At 37.9% G+C, this 16,062-nt stretch overlaps 1 annotated feature.

Annotated features, from left to right (window-relative positions):
• Positions 13,671-15,676: an enhancer, noted in NCBI's record as "heart enhancer 20". NCBI's record gives its function as "activates a minimal c-fos promoter by transgenic reporter assays in zebrafish embryonic heart {active_cell/tissue: heart(embryonic)}" and the evidence as "EXISTENCE:transgenic organism evidence [ECO:0001131][PMID:20075146]".

The following is a 16,062-nucleotide window of genomic DNA, read 5'->3' as shown; positions in this document are numbered from 1 at the left end:
GCCATATTGTATGACTCAATTTGGATCTCTACAGGCATTCCAATACACTGCTGGTGTTAATGCAAATTGGTACAACCTTTCTGAAAAGCAAATCACAACAGGAGAAAGTTTTTTAAAGCAGTTTAATCATTGACCTAGTAATCCCACATCTAGAACTTTTATTCTAAGAAAAAACACAGAGGCCGGGAGGGGTGGCTCATGCCTGTAATCCCAGCACTTTGGGAGGCCGAGGCGGGTGGATCACGAGGTCAGGAGATCCAGACCATCCTGGCTAACACGGTGAAACCCCGTCTCTACTAAAAATACAAAAAATTAGCCCGGCGTGGTGGTGGGCGCCTGTAGTCCCAGCTATTCGGGAGGCTGAAGCAGGAGAATGGCGTGAACCCGGGAGGCAGAGCCTGCAGTGAGCCGAGATCGCACCACTGCACTCCAGCCTAGGCGACACAGCAGACTCCGTCTCGGGAAAAAAAAGAAAAAAAAAGAAAAAACACAGAAACATTCTAAATGTCCAAAATCAGGGAAATGGTTCAATAAATTAAGCTTCATTTGCAGGCAGCATTATTATACAGTCATTGATAATATTTCAAAGAAGTGTTAATAACACAGGAAAATTTATAATCAAATATTGAGTGACAAAATATATAGAAATATGTATATATTTCCTGTTCTCTGGCATAAGTTTTATGTACATGGGCCTAGAATAAAGATTGGAAGAGAATGTGCCAAAATATTAAAGATGGATAACTCCAGCTTGTGATATTTAAAATGCTTTTTGGCAATTTCAAATCTTCACACAGTGAACTAGTATTTTCTTTAATCATAAAATCAAATTCAAATTGATCTCTGTACTTATAAATTATAATAAGCTTTTCAAATGAAAATTTTCACTGTGTTTATAGAAAAATTACTGATTTTCTTAACCTTTGGAGAATTATCTATTTTTAATTCTTCCTTTTTGTTTTGGGTTTAGTTTACTCTTTCTAGTTTCTTAAGGTGGAAGGTAAGTTATTGATTTGAGATCTTTTTTCTCTTTAAATATAGGTTTTAGAGCTATACATTTTCTTTTAAGTAGTATCTTTGTTGTATCCCATAATTGTTTTTATAAAATGTACACTTCCTGAAAGTACTTCCTTTTTTTTGAATTTTCTTCTCCTTTTTTTAAAATTATATTTTAAGTTCTGGGATATATGTGCAGAACGTGCAGGTTTGTTACATAGGTATACACATGGTCATGGTGGTTTGCTGCATCCATCAACCTGTCATCTACATTAGCTATTTCTCCTAATGCTATCCCTTCCCTAGGCCCCCCACCCCCTGACAGGCCCCAGTATGTGATGTTCCCCTCCCTGTATCCACGTGTTCTCATTGTTCAACTCCCACTTATGAGTGAGAACATGCGGTGTTTGGTTTCCAGTTCCTGTGTTAATTTGCTGAGAATGACTTTCTAACTTCCTTTGTGATTTCGTGTTTGATGCATTGGTTATTCAGTAGTATATTTTTAAAAATTTCCCCATATTTGTGAATTTCCAAATTTCTTTCTGTTATCTTAAATTAGTTTCCTTGTGGTCAGAGAATATGCTCTACATGATTTCAGTCTTCTTAAAAGTCTCAGGACTTGTTTTATGGCTAACATATTGGTCTATCCTGGAGAGAGTTCCACATAAATTTGAGAAGAATGTACATTTTGTTGCTGTTGATTATTCAACAAATGTCTGTTAGGTCTAGTTGACTTATAGTATTGGTCAAGTTTTCTATTTCCATGTCTATCTTCTGCCTATTCTTTTATTGAAAGTAGGATATTGAATACTGTCGAATTGCCTATTTCTCTCTTTAATTCTGTCAGTTTTTGTTTCACATGTTGGGGTTCTATTGTCAGGTGCATATATGTGTATAATTTCTATGTCATCTTGATAGACTGATCCTTTTATCATTATCAAATGATCCGTCTATAGTAACAATTTTTGGCTTAAAGTCTTTTTTTTCTGATATTAATATGGCAAATCCAGCTCTCTTTTAGTTATTACTTGCATGACATTTTTCCCATCCTTTTAATTTCAACCTATTTGTATCCTTGAATATAAAATGTGTCTTTTGTAGATAGTAAGTAGTTGAATCGTTTTTAAATATCTATCCTGCCAGTCCTCTGGCTTTTAATTGGAGTGTTTAATCCATTTATATTTAATACTACTACTGATAAAGTAGGATTTACAGCTGCCATATTTTATTTATTTTCTATATGTCATGTCTTTTTTATTCCTTGACGCCTCCGTTACTGCCTTTCCTTGTGCTGAATATTTTCTAGTGTATCATTTTAATCCCCTTGTTGTTTATTTTACATCATTTTTTAGAGTTAAATTTTCTTAGTGGTTGCCCTGAAGATTAGAATTAACATCTTAGTTTAAAATATTCTAGTTTGGATTACTACCAAGTTAATTTTAATACTATATAAAAACTTTGCTCCAATACCATTACATATCAACTCTCAACCCTTCCCGTGTGAGAGCAACATTTGGGATATATTCATTGTGTCAGTTCTACTAGTAAGAAGTGGTTATATCTTACTTTAATTAATGAGCATGTCTTCAAGAATTCCTAATTTCTATTTAGGAGTTAAATGAAGAGGTAAAACAAGCAGGCTAACTATTTAAGCAAGGAATATGGCAGCTCCATTTCAGAAAGGAAATTTTGAAGCAGGCATCCCCATTCACTGAGTTTTACCAGTTTCATTCGGCAGCTCATAAGGTGATTTTATGTGCAACTGAAAAAATGTAAAACTCTTTCCCACGGTGCTTTAAAGAAGTTATAATGTATTTTCAGATACAGAGGGCTATGGGGAGATTTCCTGACAAGCTTGAATAAAGGTGGAAATTTCAATTTTTTATGAGATTGTTGAAGCACTGACTTTAAGGCAGCAGCAGTAAGCTCACTTTTGCTGGCTATGAGCACATTGAAACTCCCAAGCTGAAGAGAGGTAAATGAGCATTCCAGGGTGTGCAAACTGAAAAAAAATATGTGCAGAGTTTGTGTGTCACAGAAACAATTATTCTTTAAGTTTTATAATCAAGAAGTGAGAAAGGCAAATTATCCTTTATATACACATTCACACACACACACATTTATATAATGTGTAATGTATCACTTTGCATTGCAACGATTTATTTGACCAGGGACTGGAATAGGAAGTACGGCTGAAATATAGTCATTTCTATATGATCTTTCTATTTTTTATTTTTTAATCACCCCTTTATCAGAATATATTTTTAAACATGTGTGTCAGTTTAGTTAAAAAGAGCCTGGCATTGTTGTTAGGCAGATCTGAACTTGAGTCATGGTGCTGCCACTAGTGTGACTTGGTTCTTAATCTCTTAATCATTTAATCTCTCTAAGCCTCAGCTTCCTCAACTGAAAAGTACACTTAAATTTGGTACCAACTTTAAAGAGCAATTGAGATAATGAGTCAGTCTGATTAGACTATTACTAATGTAGCTATTGCTAATAATACAACTATAAATAAAAATAATAATCACAGCAACTACTTTGAGTACTTGCTACATGCAAATCAATGTATTAGGGTCTCAAGACAAATGGTAAATGGAAATATGTTGAGCTCATTTGATTCAAATGTGCTTCAAGTAAAGTCTGAGAAATGAAGAACAATGGTGTACAGAATGCAATGCAGTTCAAAAGAAATTTCAGAGAAATGTTTAGGGAAATTGGGGGCAATGGGATTAAGGTAGAAATGGAATTGGAGTTGGAATATGTCTGCTTACCAGTTTTCAACATATTAATGAAAATAAAATATTTGGGCTTTTTTGTTTGTATGTTTTGTTTTTCCAAAGCTCCATTGTGCTTGTACTTTCATCGATGTCTTGGAAAAATATTATCGGTATTGGTTTGTTCAGCATAGATTATCTCCATTTTTTATAACAGACATTTCTTTGATATTACAGTCAGCCCTCCTTATCCATGGGTTCTGCATCTGTGGATTCAATCGACCATAGATTGAATATACTTGAGAAGGAAAACAAATGGTTGTGTCTTACCTGAATATGTATAGATTGTTTCTTGTCCTTATTTCTAAGAAATATAGCATAACAACTATTTATATTGCATTTACAAGGTATTAGGTATTATAAATAACATAGAAATGATTAAAGGTGTACAGGAGGATGTGCATAGATTGTATGTAAATACTACCCACTTTATTTCAGAGGCTTGAGCATCCATAGATTTGGGTATCTGCAGGGGGTCCTGTAACCAATCCTCCATGGATACTGAGGGATGACTGTATATGTAAAAATATTTGTAAAGTAAATCACATTTGAAATGAGCTTTGTGCTTTCCAGTCATTGCATTTTGCTCATTTTACTCCCTGCTTAAATTACTTTCCCTCTGTTCTCTGTCAACTCAAATTCTATCCAATCTTTCTGGGTCACTACCAACAACACTTATTCTCTGAACCTCCTCTAAGGTCATCCCAATCCTCATCGTTTTCCTACTCATGTGAATTACTACGGGATCTGCATTTAATTATAAAGAAACTCAACAAGCAACTGTTGACCAATTACAATGAGCCAGGCCCTGGAATTGCTACTGGAGACATAAGATGAACAGGATGCTGTTCCTGTCCATTCTTAGGAGACATAGAATCCAGTGGCAGGAGACAGACATACTAAGAGAATCATTATTCCAAAAAATATTTTTATAAATGAAGGGCATATTTATGGATAAATACTGCATCAGAAAGATCAGAAAGAAAACCAATCACTCACTAATTTGTCTTCTTGGTAAATCTGGATTTTCGTCTGAAGCACAATGCACAGCTAAGCTTTCACATATTTTTTCAGAAATAAGAAAGTTGCCCTTTAAAAGTAGTTATAGGTTTTCTACCTCCATAGATAGAGAAAAAATTCACCTTTATAAGAAGACTTCTCTTTTCATTATGAGAAATAATTCTAACATGCATTTTCATTATGCAAAGTTAAAGCTAAAATGCTACTCTGGAATGGAGACAATTGGGACAAGTAGCTAAACTACTTTGCATAAAGATGTAAACATTTGACTTTACTGTGGTAAGAATTACATCTTGCAGCAATTAGCCTTTGCCACAATGGTGTATTACAAACAACTTCAAAATTCAGTGACTGAAAAAAATTATTTTGTTTCTCCAGATGTTTGAGTCAGCTGGGCAGGTTTTGCTTCACATTGCAGGTCTGCAGGTCTGGGTCTTCCTCACATGTCTTTCATCCTTTTTGGTCCCATTGAGTTATTCAGGGTACATTCCTCTCATGGTGATGGCAGAGGCACACCAAATGGCAAGCCCAACCACGCAAGCACTTTTCAAACTGCTTTTTGCATCACATCTGCTAACATTCTATTAGCCAAAGCAAAACACATAGTCCAGCCCAAAATTAAGAGGCTGAGAAGGACATTCCATCTTTAGTTGCAGAAAATGCAAAACTACCAGGCATAGAATGTAGACACAGGAAATAATAAAGAGTCAGATAAAATAATTCAACCTCTCAGACCCCATAAAGATATTGATTGAAATGTGTTTGAAACTGAGGGAAGGATTTGGGGTTTGCAGTTATTCTCAGTGGACCAGAGAAAGAAGAGATTTGAGAGTTCTCTGAGCAGCAGGCTATGAGACAGAGCACATTAAACAGGGAGGGCTCTTGAAATCAATACCTGTGAAAAGGAGTGAAAGGAAGCAAAACTGGGCAAAGGGAAAAGTTGAGCTTTGATGTGGTCTCAGCAAAGGGTTCAGGCAACTCCATGGGAAGTGTTGGAACTTGTGGCCCTTCAGAGTTGTCCCAAGTTGGGGCATGGTGTCCAGGCTTTTATATCTCTGCTCAGTCAATCTTCACAATACCTTTGCTTGATCAGGTCTTGTGTAATTTTGGCCATAGGCAATCTCCAATGAGGGCTGATAGGTGAGAACTGTCTTTTGGCAGCACTCACAGGAGTCTTCATTTTGAAGAAGATCTTGGTTGCAAAGCACTGCACCCTTACAGCAGCTACTATGTTCTAGGCACCATTCTAAGTGCTGGGGATATAGAAAAAGAACAAATGAATAAGAAAATGTATCACACGTCAGACGGTGCTGAATGTTACAGGGAGAAATAAAGCAGGGTCACTCAACTCCAGCCACATAGCATCCTTGAAATTATTCAAACCCACCATGTAAGTCCCCATTCCAGGGTCTTTGCTACCCATCACTTATGGCCCCACTCCCTTTAGGTCTTGGCTCAAGTGCTCCCTTCTCAATAAAGCATTGTATCACTATTCTGTTGTAAATGTCAGCGTCTCCAACATCCACCCATCCTAGCATTCCTGTCTCTCTTCTGCTACTGGCCAGTTTTCTCTGTTCTCCTAAAAAACCAGCACTCTGCTCCCCTGGCTACCTGCTGCCCTTCTGAGACTTGAATATCCTTGTTGGGGCCTTATAATGACTTCTTTTACTTTCTTTTTATTTCTCCTAAATAAGTAAAACATGGCAATATTAAGGAAGGAGAGTGATTACTTTGTGAGAGTTCCCCCATCCCCTACTCCTGCCCCATCCTACCCTATGCTCACCATTAAATAATAATTTTTCTCAACACTAGAAGTAAACTGGAAAAACATACAAATAGGAAACTCTGATTAAAACTGATCAGGTTTTTTTCTCTAAATCAAGTTATTTTCTCTGAAGAATAGAAACATGAAGCTTCATGTGAGGTGATTCAAACCAAAGTGACTGAAAATGGCTGCAGACAGTGTACACACACATGACTGGTTTCCTATGAGGCCGTTTTGCTTCCTTCTTCTGTGAGTACAGGCTTTCCTTAGCAAAATCCTCTCCCAGCAGGTCGAGCCCTGTTTCTGAGTGCTCCTTGACTAATGCAGGTATTTGTTTAGCTATTGCCCCTCCTGTCTTCCCAACTGGTTTCAAATGCTTTCATACTTGAAAATGATCTCTTTAAAATCACCCTGATTTTTCCCAACAGATTATTGTATTTGGAGTAATAGCATGAGCTGAGGCTGTATAACATGGGGTGGGGGAGAAGTTTAGGCAAACTTCTTACAGTTCGGTTTTCAGTGTGAGTTAAAAACAAACCAGCCAAGTGATAGAAATACATTTCAGACCCAAGGAAAAGATAAATGTCATCCTTTTTATGCTGTACAGTAAATGTGTGCAATTTATCTGTTTAAAAAACGTAGGCATTTCCAACCTGTAACATATAGGCATGGTCATTTATGCGAGTTAGGTATTTGATGCCTTTGCTAGCACAGCCATCTTCCTACCATTTTACTTTCCACTTCCTTTTCACTCCTAATCCCCAACCCCACCCCAGTATACCCATTCCAACCCACCACTCTTTATCCTCCAATCCACAAATTAAAGTATTTCTGCTGGGAGTTATATATTCCACTGCTCAACAGGAGTTCACCACTGAAATTCTTGTAACTGAAATATCCAGATGGTTGTTCTAATTTTTCACTTAGCTATTTGGCTTGCTTGGTTATTCTATCTCATTTTATTCATCCTCAAAACATTTTTGAAAGTTATGTTCTCTAAAGAATAGAAACATGAAGCTTCATGTGAGGGGATTCAAACCAAAGTTAGGAATTATAGTTCACTTCAGAAGGCAGGTTTTTCAAAACAAATATAGACTGAAGTAAGAAGGTTAACGTGCCTTTAAATGTTTGCCTTTTCTATATAAATAGGCTTATTATTTATTGAAGGTTTTTGAACAAATATTTATTGAATACTTACTATGTGTCAGACATTGTTCTCAGTGTTTAGAATATCTCAGTGAACAAAAAACGAAGACCCTGACACTGTGAAAGCTTAAGTTTGAGATAGGAATGCTGATAATAGACACAAGCATAATAAATAAATAAATTATGTAGCTTGTTAGAAGCTTTTTATACAATACAAGAAGCGTTTCCATATAATATGGGGAGGAAAAGAAGAAGGAAGGTACTATAATAGGAGAGCAGGAGGTGTTGGGGCACAATATAGCATAAAGAGGCAGAGCAGGCTTATTGAGAAGTGGTATTAGCATAAAGACTGAAGAGCTTTTCAGGCTAAAGTAACAGCCAATGCAAAGGGCCTGAGAGGGGAGTTTGTCTGGCATGTTTGAGGAACAACAAGGAGGCCAATGTGGCTAGAGCAGGGCAAATTGGGCAAAGAGAAAAAGGATCAGACAGGTAACTGGGATCCGAACACTTAGGGCCTAGCAGACCATTGTAAGGACTTTGGCTTTTACTCTGAATAAACTGGGAGCTGTTACAAAATTCTGAGCAGAGAAGTAGGGTATTTTTGGTTTTTTGTTTGTTTGTTTGAGACAGGGTCTCACTCTGTTGTCCAAGCTGGAGTATAGTGGTATAATTCTAGCTCACTGCAGTCTAGAATTCCTGGGCACAAGTGATCCTCCTACCTCAGCCACCTAAGTTGCTGGGACTACAGGTGCACACTACCATGTCTGGCTAATTTTTAATTTTGTTTGTAGAGAGAGGGTCTCCCTATGTTACCCTGGCTGATCTCAAACTCCTGGCTTCAAGCAATCCTCCTGCCTCAGCCTCCAAAAGTGTTGAGATTACAGGCGCAAGCCAGCAAGCCCCCCCACTGGGTCCATATTTAGGTTTAAAAGGGTCACTCTGGCTTCTGTGCTGAGACTAGATGGTGGGTAGAACAAAGATAGAAACAGAAAGGTTAGGAAGCTGATGACGGTGGTGCAGACCAAGGCGGCAGCAGAGGTAGCACTGAGAAATAGTCATGTTATGGATATAGGATGAAGGTAGAGCAAGAGATTTTCTGATGAATTGGATATGGAACATGAGAAAACTATGAGTCAAGAATGATCTCAAGGTTGTGACCTGAGCCCTGGGAAGATGGTGTTTCCATCAATTGAGATGGGAGTGGCCGCCAGAAGAACAAGTGAGGGGGCCATATTGGGAGTTCTGTTTTTGACATATTCAATTGAGACAACCAAATAAAGACGTTAGTAGATAACTGTATGTGAGCCTGGAGTCAGGAGAGAGGTGTGGGATGAAGAGGTAAATTTAGGAGTCTTAGGCATTTAAGTGGTATTTAAAGCCATGAGATTAGATGAAATCGCCTAAAAAAGGAAGTAAAGATAGAGAAGAAAAGAGAATCAAGAACTGAGCACTGGAGATCAACATTCAGAGGGAAGGTAGAAAAGGAGAAGTCAGCAAATGAGACAAAGAAGAAGCAGCTAGGAAGATAGGAGGAAATTCAAGACAGTGTGTTGTCCCAGAGCCAAACGAAGACGGGTCAAGTAAAATGAGAAGTGAGAATTGGCCACTGCAGTTAGCAACATGGAAGTCACTAGTGATCTTGACAAGAGCAGTTTCAGTGAAGGAGTCGAGGGAAGCAAAAGCCAGACTGGGGAGGATTCAGAAGATAATAAAGGAGAGGAATCAGAAATGGCTACTAAAGACATCCCTTTCAACAAGTTTTGAGGCAAGCAATCCAAAGAAATGAGGTGATAACTTGTAGGGAAAGATGGGAGAATAACAGCATGTCTGTAAGCTACTGGGAATGATCCAGTAGAGAAGAAACATTGTGATAATATAGGAGTCAGAAAAGATAATTGCTAAGGCAGTGTCCCGGATGGGAACTAGTCATGGCTGGAGGGACTGGCTTTAGTTAGCAAAATGGAGACCTTATCTATGATAGCAGGTGGGAATGTAGCAGATGAGAGGCAGATGGAATGAGTGTGGACATGTGATTATAAGGGTCAGGGGAAGTTCTCTTCTAATTGCTTCAGTTTTCTCAGTGAAGTAGAATGCAATATCATCAGCTAAGACAATACAGATGGGAGGAGGAAATGTCAGAGATTCGAGGAGAAAAAAGAGAATATCAAATAGTCAGTGAACGGGTGAACAAATGGACTAAAGAGGCGTAGGGTGATTAGTGGAATCAGGACGGGTTCACTTGAGTTTGTGCTTATGAATTTAAAGTGAGATCAATCAGCATGGTTGTGTTCTTTTCTTCTCCAGCTCCAGTAAGTTACCCAGGTGCAGATACAGAGAATGCAGAGAGTTTAATTTTAAAAACCTGTGGTTTTTTTCAAACAAGCATTAAAAAAAGTAGAAAAGCAGCAAGGAAATTTTTTTCCTTGAAGGTGTGTGCAATTGAGAGTGATTATTGAGGATGGAATTCAGCTGGGTATGGAGGGGAGTAAGGACGTGAAGTGGTGATGGACAGTGAAAGGGTGGTAGAAGAATTGGAGGTCCCAGTCAGGTTAGAGTATTAGAGAGAAAGTCGGGCAATGTTGATCACATGTAATACATGACATTGAGAGAACGAAATAGCATGGTCTAGCAAGGCCTGCCCATGGGAGTGGGGACTGCAGAGGGGAGGCCACACAATGAGGGAAAAAGAGGTCGGGGATCTAAGATCACAAGACACTAGAAAGATGATTCATGCATATGGAGATCACCAAGAAGTTAAAACCCCAAAAGGTAAATTAAGGAAAACAAAGTTATGCTACAACTGTGCAATGAAATATTATACAGTCATTAAAAACAGAATTTTGGAAAAAATAGTTAAAGACATGAAGAAATGATTAAAAAATGCTAAGGGAGTAGGGAATCCAAGATATTTAATTTTATATGTAGTACAATTCCATTTTCTTAAATATATCTTTGTGCATAGAGAAAAGACTTGAGGAAATAAAATGTCAGTGGTATTTATCTCTGGGTGAAATTTATTGTTTTCTATGTATCTTTATTATTTTCTAAATTTCCTACAAAAAAATAGGGAAAAAATCATTAACAAAAAACAACAAAAGAGAGTAAACATATTATCTCTGGTGCATTAAATTTCATAAGAGCATTTTTAAAAATAAATAATTTAGTCACAGCTCCCAGATTTCCCACTGTCTTCTGTGTGTTAGTTCACTTAGGTAATGTGAGATGTGACACAGTTTTACAGCCAATTTCTGAATTTTCTTTCATCTTCAGACGGTATTTTTTCCATATAAGAGTTTTCTTTTCAGTCAATTGAAACTCTAGAAAGTTGTGTTTCTGTCCAAAAGTTCTCCAAATGGAGATGTTCAAATTTGAAGTAAGCTTTCCTTCTAGAGAGGACACATGTCCTTTACAGAAAATATGGGAAAACAGTAGCTATGTTTCTAAAGCTTAAGCATCCAAATCTGGCATGGAAAACTAGAATGGTTATAACTTAGATTGCTTTAGTAGATGCTTCTCCCATTCAGGGATAAGTTGAGCGGATAGGCTTCAACTGTGGGGTCTTTGTCCTTTGGTAAGGTACACTGAAGTAAGCATATTTAAAGAGAATGTCAGTTAATTTTAAATTTGTAATTAAGTCTGGTTCAAAGTAAAAGTAAATACACACAAACGCACCCTTCTCTCCACCCCGGGAACAAAATACATGTTTGTGTTTGTGAACCTAGTGGTCGTCTTATGTTTCACTTTTAGTTTCAGCTTTTCCTAAAGGTTTTTATCCCTGACCTATTAAAAGAAACTCCACAGAGAAAAAGACCCCCCCCCTCCTTGACTCTCAATCAAGTAGATTTCTACCTGTCCTTCTCTCTAACATCCTCTGTAGTCTCATGTTGACAATAAAGAAATAGGTTAGGGAAGATAATATAAGAAAAGATTTAGGATTGAATCACATGACATTTGATTTGAAATTGTACAAAATTGTGAAAGCATTAATCTCATGCTGACTCGGTCTGAGGAAAAATCCCATTTATCATTTTGGAAATTTTTTTATTTTTAATTTAAACCAATTTACAATACAACTGACACAAGAAAACTAAAAAGAAAATGTGGCTGAATTTTAACCATTGAAAGTTCATGTTGTAATCTCTGCAGAAAAGTCTGGAGTAATTTTGAGAGGAAAGAAAACATTGTCTAAAAGCTGAAAAAATATCGCTTTTAAGCATGGAATTTCCTAAGTCATGAGAATCTGAAATCACACTGCTATTTCCCTGGCTACTAATTTCAAATCCTTGCCACTCTTGTCTGAAAACCTACTGCCTACAGCCTGGCCAGAACACGGGGTGGGGATGCTCATTTGTAAAAGGCTGCCTGTATCTCGCTTTGCCATCGCCCCATCCCTAACCACAAAGCCAAGATGAGTGAAAAAGAAGATCCCTATATTTACATCAGATTTACATTAGACCTTCAATTCAAACATACAAAGTGTGCAGTGACTAGGCAACTTATAGCCCTTCTTACCATAGGAACTTTATTCCACTTTTATGGTAGTATAACTAGCCTGAAGATGAGGGAAAGGCCTGAGAGGTCATCTAGAGCAGTGGTCCTCAACATTTTTGGCACCAGGGACTGGTATTATGGAAGACAATTTTTCCATGGACTGGAGAGCAGAGGAGGGGTGGCGGGGGTGGAGTGAGAAGATGGTTTTGGGATAATTCAAGCACATTCCATTTATTGTGCACTTTGTGCCTACTATTATTACATTGTAATATATAATGAAATAATTATACAACTCTCCATAAAGTAGAATTAGTGGGAGCCCTGAGCTTGTTTTCCTGCAACTAGACAGTTCCATATGGGAGTGATGGGAGACAGTGACAGATCATCAGGCATTAGATTCTCATAAGGGGTATGCAGCCTAGATCCCTCATATGCACAATTTACAACAGGGTTTGCCCTCCTGTGAGAATCTAATCTAATGCCACTGCTGATCTGATAGGAGGTGGAGCTCAAACAGTAATGTGAGCAATGGGGAGTGGCTGTAAAAAACAGATGAACCTTCTCTCCCTTGCCCCCCAGCCCAACTCCCCTGCTGTTGTGTGGCCCTGGTGTTTGGGGACCCCTGATCTAGAGCCCAATCTTGTAACTAGGAAGGCACATGACTCTCTCCAAGGTCAAGAGGCTGAATAGAAACACTTAAATGAAGACTTCAAAATTAGATTCTCTTGTGTACATGTATCTACAGTAGAGTGTTAAACACACATCTACCTTCACAGTATTCAAATCGCTCTTTACTAAGGATTTAAAGAAGCAAATTTTCAAAACTTGGCTATAGTTACTGGCTCAATCATTTGCTTACTATAAACTAGAATTCCTTCTTATTTAAATGTAACATTTCAATTGCAGGAGTTCAAATACATTGTGTCCTGAATAATCTTAAGGTACAAATATTTCAAAATAATACTTTAAATAGAAAAACCTGTCTTTGGTACATTAACACTGAATTTTTCCCTTTCTTCCTAAGCCAGCCATGAAATACCTACTGATTCTAAATGAAGTAAGAACTTGGTTATGTGATTCAAAAATGTCAAGAATCTCTGGCCTGCATGATCTAAGATAAATGGAAGTTTGTGCAACTAACATGATTTTGGTAAAATGTATTTTTTAATTAAAAGAGTCATATAATTATATTAAAAGCTGTTTATGTTAAAACCAAAATCAATACCAGTGATAATAACTAATACTTACGAAGTGATTACTAAGTGTTAGACATTGTGCCTAAAGATTTACTATATTATCTTGTTTTATACTTTCCACAATCCCTTGGGGATAGCTATGGTTATTAGGCTCATTTTACAGTTGGGGGAACTGAGCACTAGAAAAATTAAGGCATTTGCCGAGATAATAAGCTAGCAAGTGGCAGAATTGAGATTGGAGCCCAGGTAGTCTTAACCACTCTATCAACCAGCTCGCATAGAACAGTTATTAGCAAATAAGAAAAGTATGGCTTTGTATGAGTTTAGTTTTCAGTTAAATGGTGTGTTTCACTGATGGCTGATGTGATTAGCACCTTATAAACCTTGGAAATGTTGCTTGTCAAGCATGGAAAAGTAAAATATTTGTGCTTGCTATTCTGTTCCCAAGACTAATTTTTAAAATTCCATAATATGTTAAGGTAATAATAATGAAAAAATTAATTACATAAACAGGCCATTAGGTTAAAAGCCTACACAAGCATGACCTACCAATTTTCCAAACTGATGGTAGAAATTAGTATGTTGATGGACTTTAACCACTGCATAAAAATAACCCAACATGCCCTTGTAAATCATTGTCGAACTCATTACTCATTACAGATTGTACTTCTCATTATCATGCCACATGTAAAATCTTGACAAGATTTGTCTGACATCCAAACAAACTCTTATAACTAACTCAAGCAGCATGTTTCTATGGTATGTCAGCCCGCTGCAGGTGTTTCTCTATCACAATGAATAATTACATCAAACAAAGACAAGAAATATTCTAAAGCTGACAAAACCGCACATCTGAAATCTGTATTTTCTACCTCTTGGGAAATTAAAATCTACAAGTATAGGGGCTTCAGTGCCCATGTCTTGGGGCCATTCCAGGATTATAAAGAAAGATTTTTTTTTTTTGCAAACCCAAGTATTATAACAGTACAGGAAATTAAACTGTATTTATAGACTGGACACCAGCACACCAGCATGCTTTCTTAGCTCTTCAAATCTCCCAACAAAAATAAAAACACTAGCAATCAAATGGGTGAGCAAGAAATGACAAGTATTTTGACAGCTCTAGAATACTTTGAGGTATTTTTAGCATATTTCTGAGTCGTATTAGCTTAACCTGTTATAGAATATAAATGAGCCCATATGGCACAGATGTAATTATGCTCCATGTGAGAAATCCCTGTAGTAGGTTAAGGAGGGGGCTGGAAGAGAATACACCAGCCCCCACCTCCCTCCCCACCCTCTCCCCCTCACCACATGTGCCTTCTGGAGGGCATGATTTACACATCATTTGCATTGAGAAGAATATGAAGAAACACAATGCTAACAACACAGTACTGAAAAGGGCAAGCAAAAGATTGGGGATCCCTAAGGGTGCTGCTCTCTGTGACTGACATCCGGTTAGGAGTAGAGGCAGTTTCCCCTGGGGATCACATTTGATGAAGCGATCTTTGATTATGTAGGCACAGCAATCATAAGGCATAATTATTATTACTGCAAAAGAATGGGCAACAAATCTCTGGGGAAAGCCTCTGTCACAGACACTTTGCTGGCGCACGCTGGAAGCGAATGTTCTCCCAAGGATCATTTTCATTCCAACCTGATATTTAGCTGAAGCTTCTTTGACTACCAGTCATGAAACATTAAATATAGATTAGAGCCAGAGAGATGTTGAAAGTTGAAATTCACCGGAGGTGCAAGCTTGTGTCCTTGAGAAACAACCTTGAATGCTGTCCAGATGTTGTAGCAGCAAGGCAGAATGGTCCCAAGCTGCAAGGAGCCAGCCACAGAGGAAAGAGGAGATGTTTAGCATTCTACCAGCCTTCTGTTTGCTTTATCTGTACTACATTAATTTAGCAGAGAATCCTAACAGGCTGTTAGTGGTAGATGTTGCAAAGTGTTCACTATCCCGAAAGAATGAAGAAATGCTTTTGCGCCAAGAAGAGGAGTAATTCAAAGCACGTAATTGATTTTCTACAGTTTCAAACTGTGATAAGACTAAGGTCTAGCAACAGAAACATATCTTAGCAGTTTTGTCTGTGTTTCTCGATGAAATAAAAAAAGAGAACCCCCATAACTAGTAGATGGTTAACTTACTTTGAACATCTCACTAGATATTAACAGATATTGCAGTGGAATTTGGAATAAATTGGTTTGATTTGGAATGGTTTGCAGAAGGCAGCTGTGCTGTAGGAAGCAAAATTCATTGCCCAGGTGTGTGATGGAAACACCTTTCCCATTTCCTCAAGGAACTGGGTGTGCTGCACTTACATTCAAGACTCTCTCCACTCCCCTTACCTCACCCACTTTTGCAGAACATGAATCAGAGGGAGGCTCTTCTGGTATTAGTTAGCAGGCAACACGCTTCACTCAGGGAAAACTCTTGCTCACTATTATTCCCAGCAAATGAGAGATATTAAGCCAGTCACCCTAGAGGCAACTGACCAGCTGTTCTTCTTGTTCATGGGAAACAGAGGAGATGAGGAGGTGAGCACCAGGTAGGGATAGGAAGTGAGACCTAGGAACTCCTTGCCGATGAGGGCTGACAAGTGCTGGCTTGGATGAACAAAGAGTTTTTATTCCCATAGACCTTTAGAAACAGGAGGTACTGGTT

Source organism: Homo sapiens, chromosome 7 (genome assembly GCF_000001405.40).
Source record: "Homo sapiens chromosome 7, GRCh38.p14 Primary Assembly".
NCBI lineage: Eukaryota > Metazoa > Chordata > Mammalia > Primates > Hominidae > Homo > Homo sapiens.
This window is presented reverse-complemented; position numbering and strand designations above follow the sequence as displayed.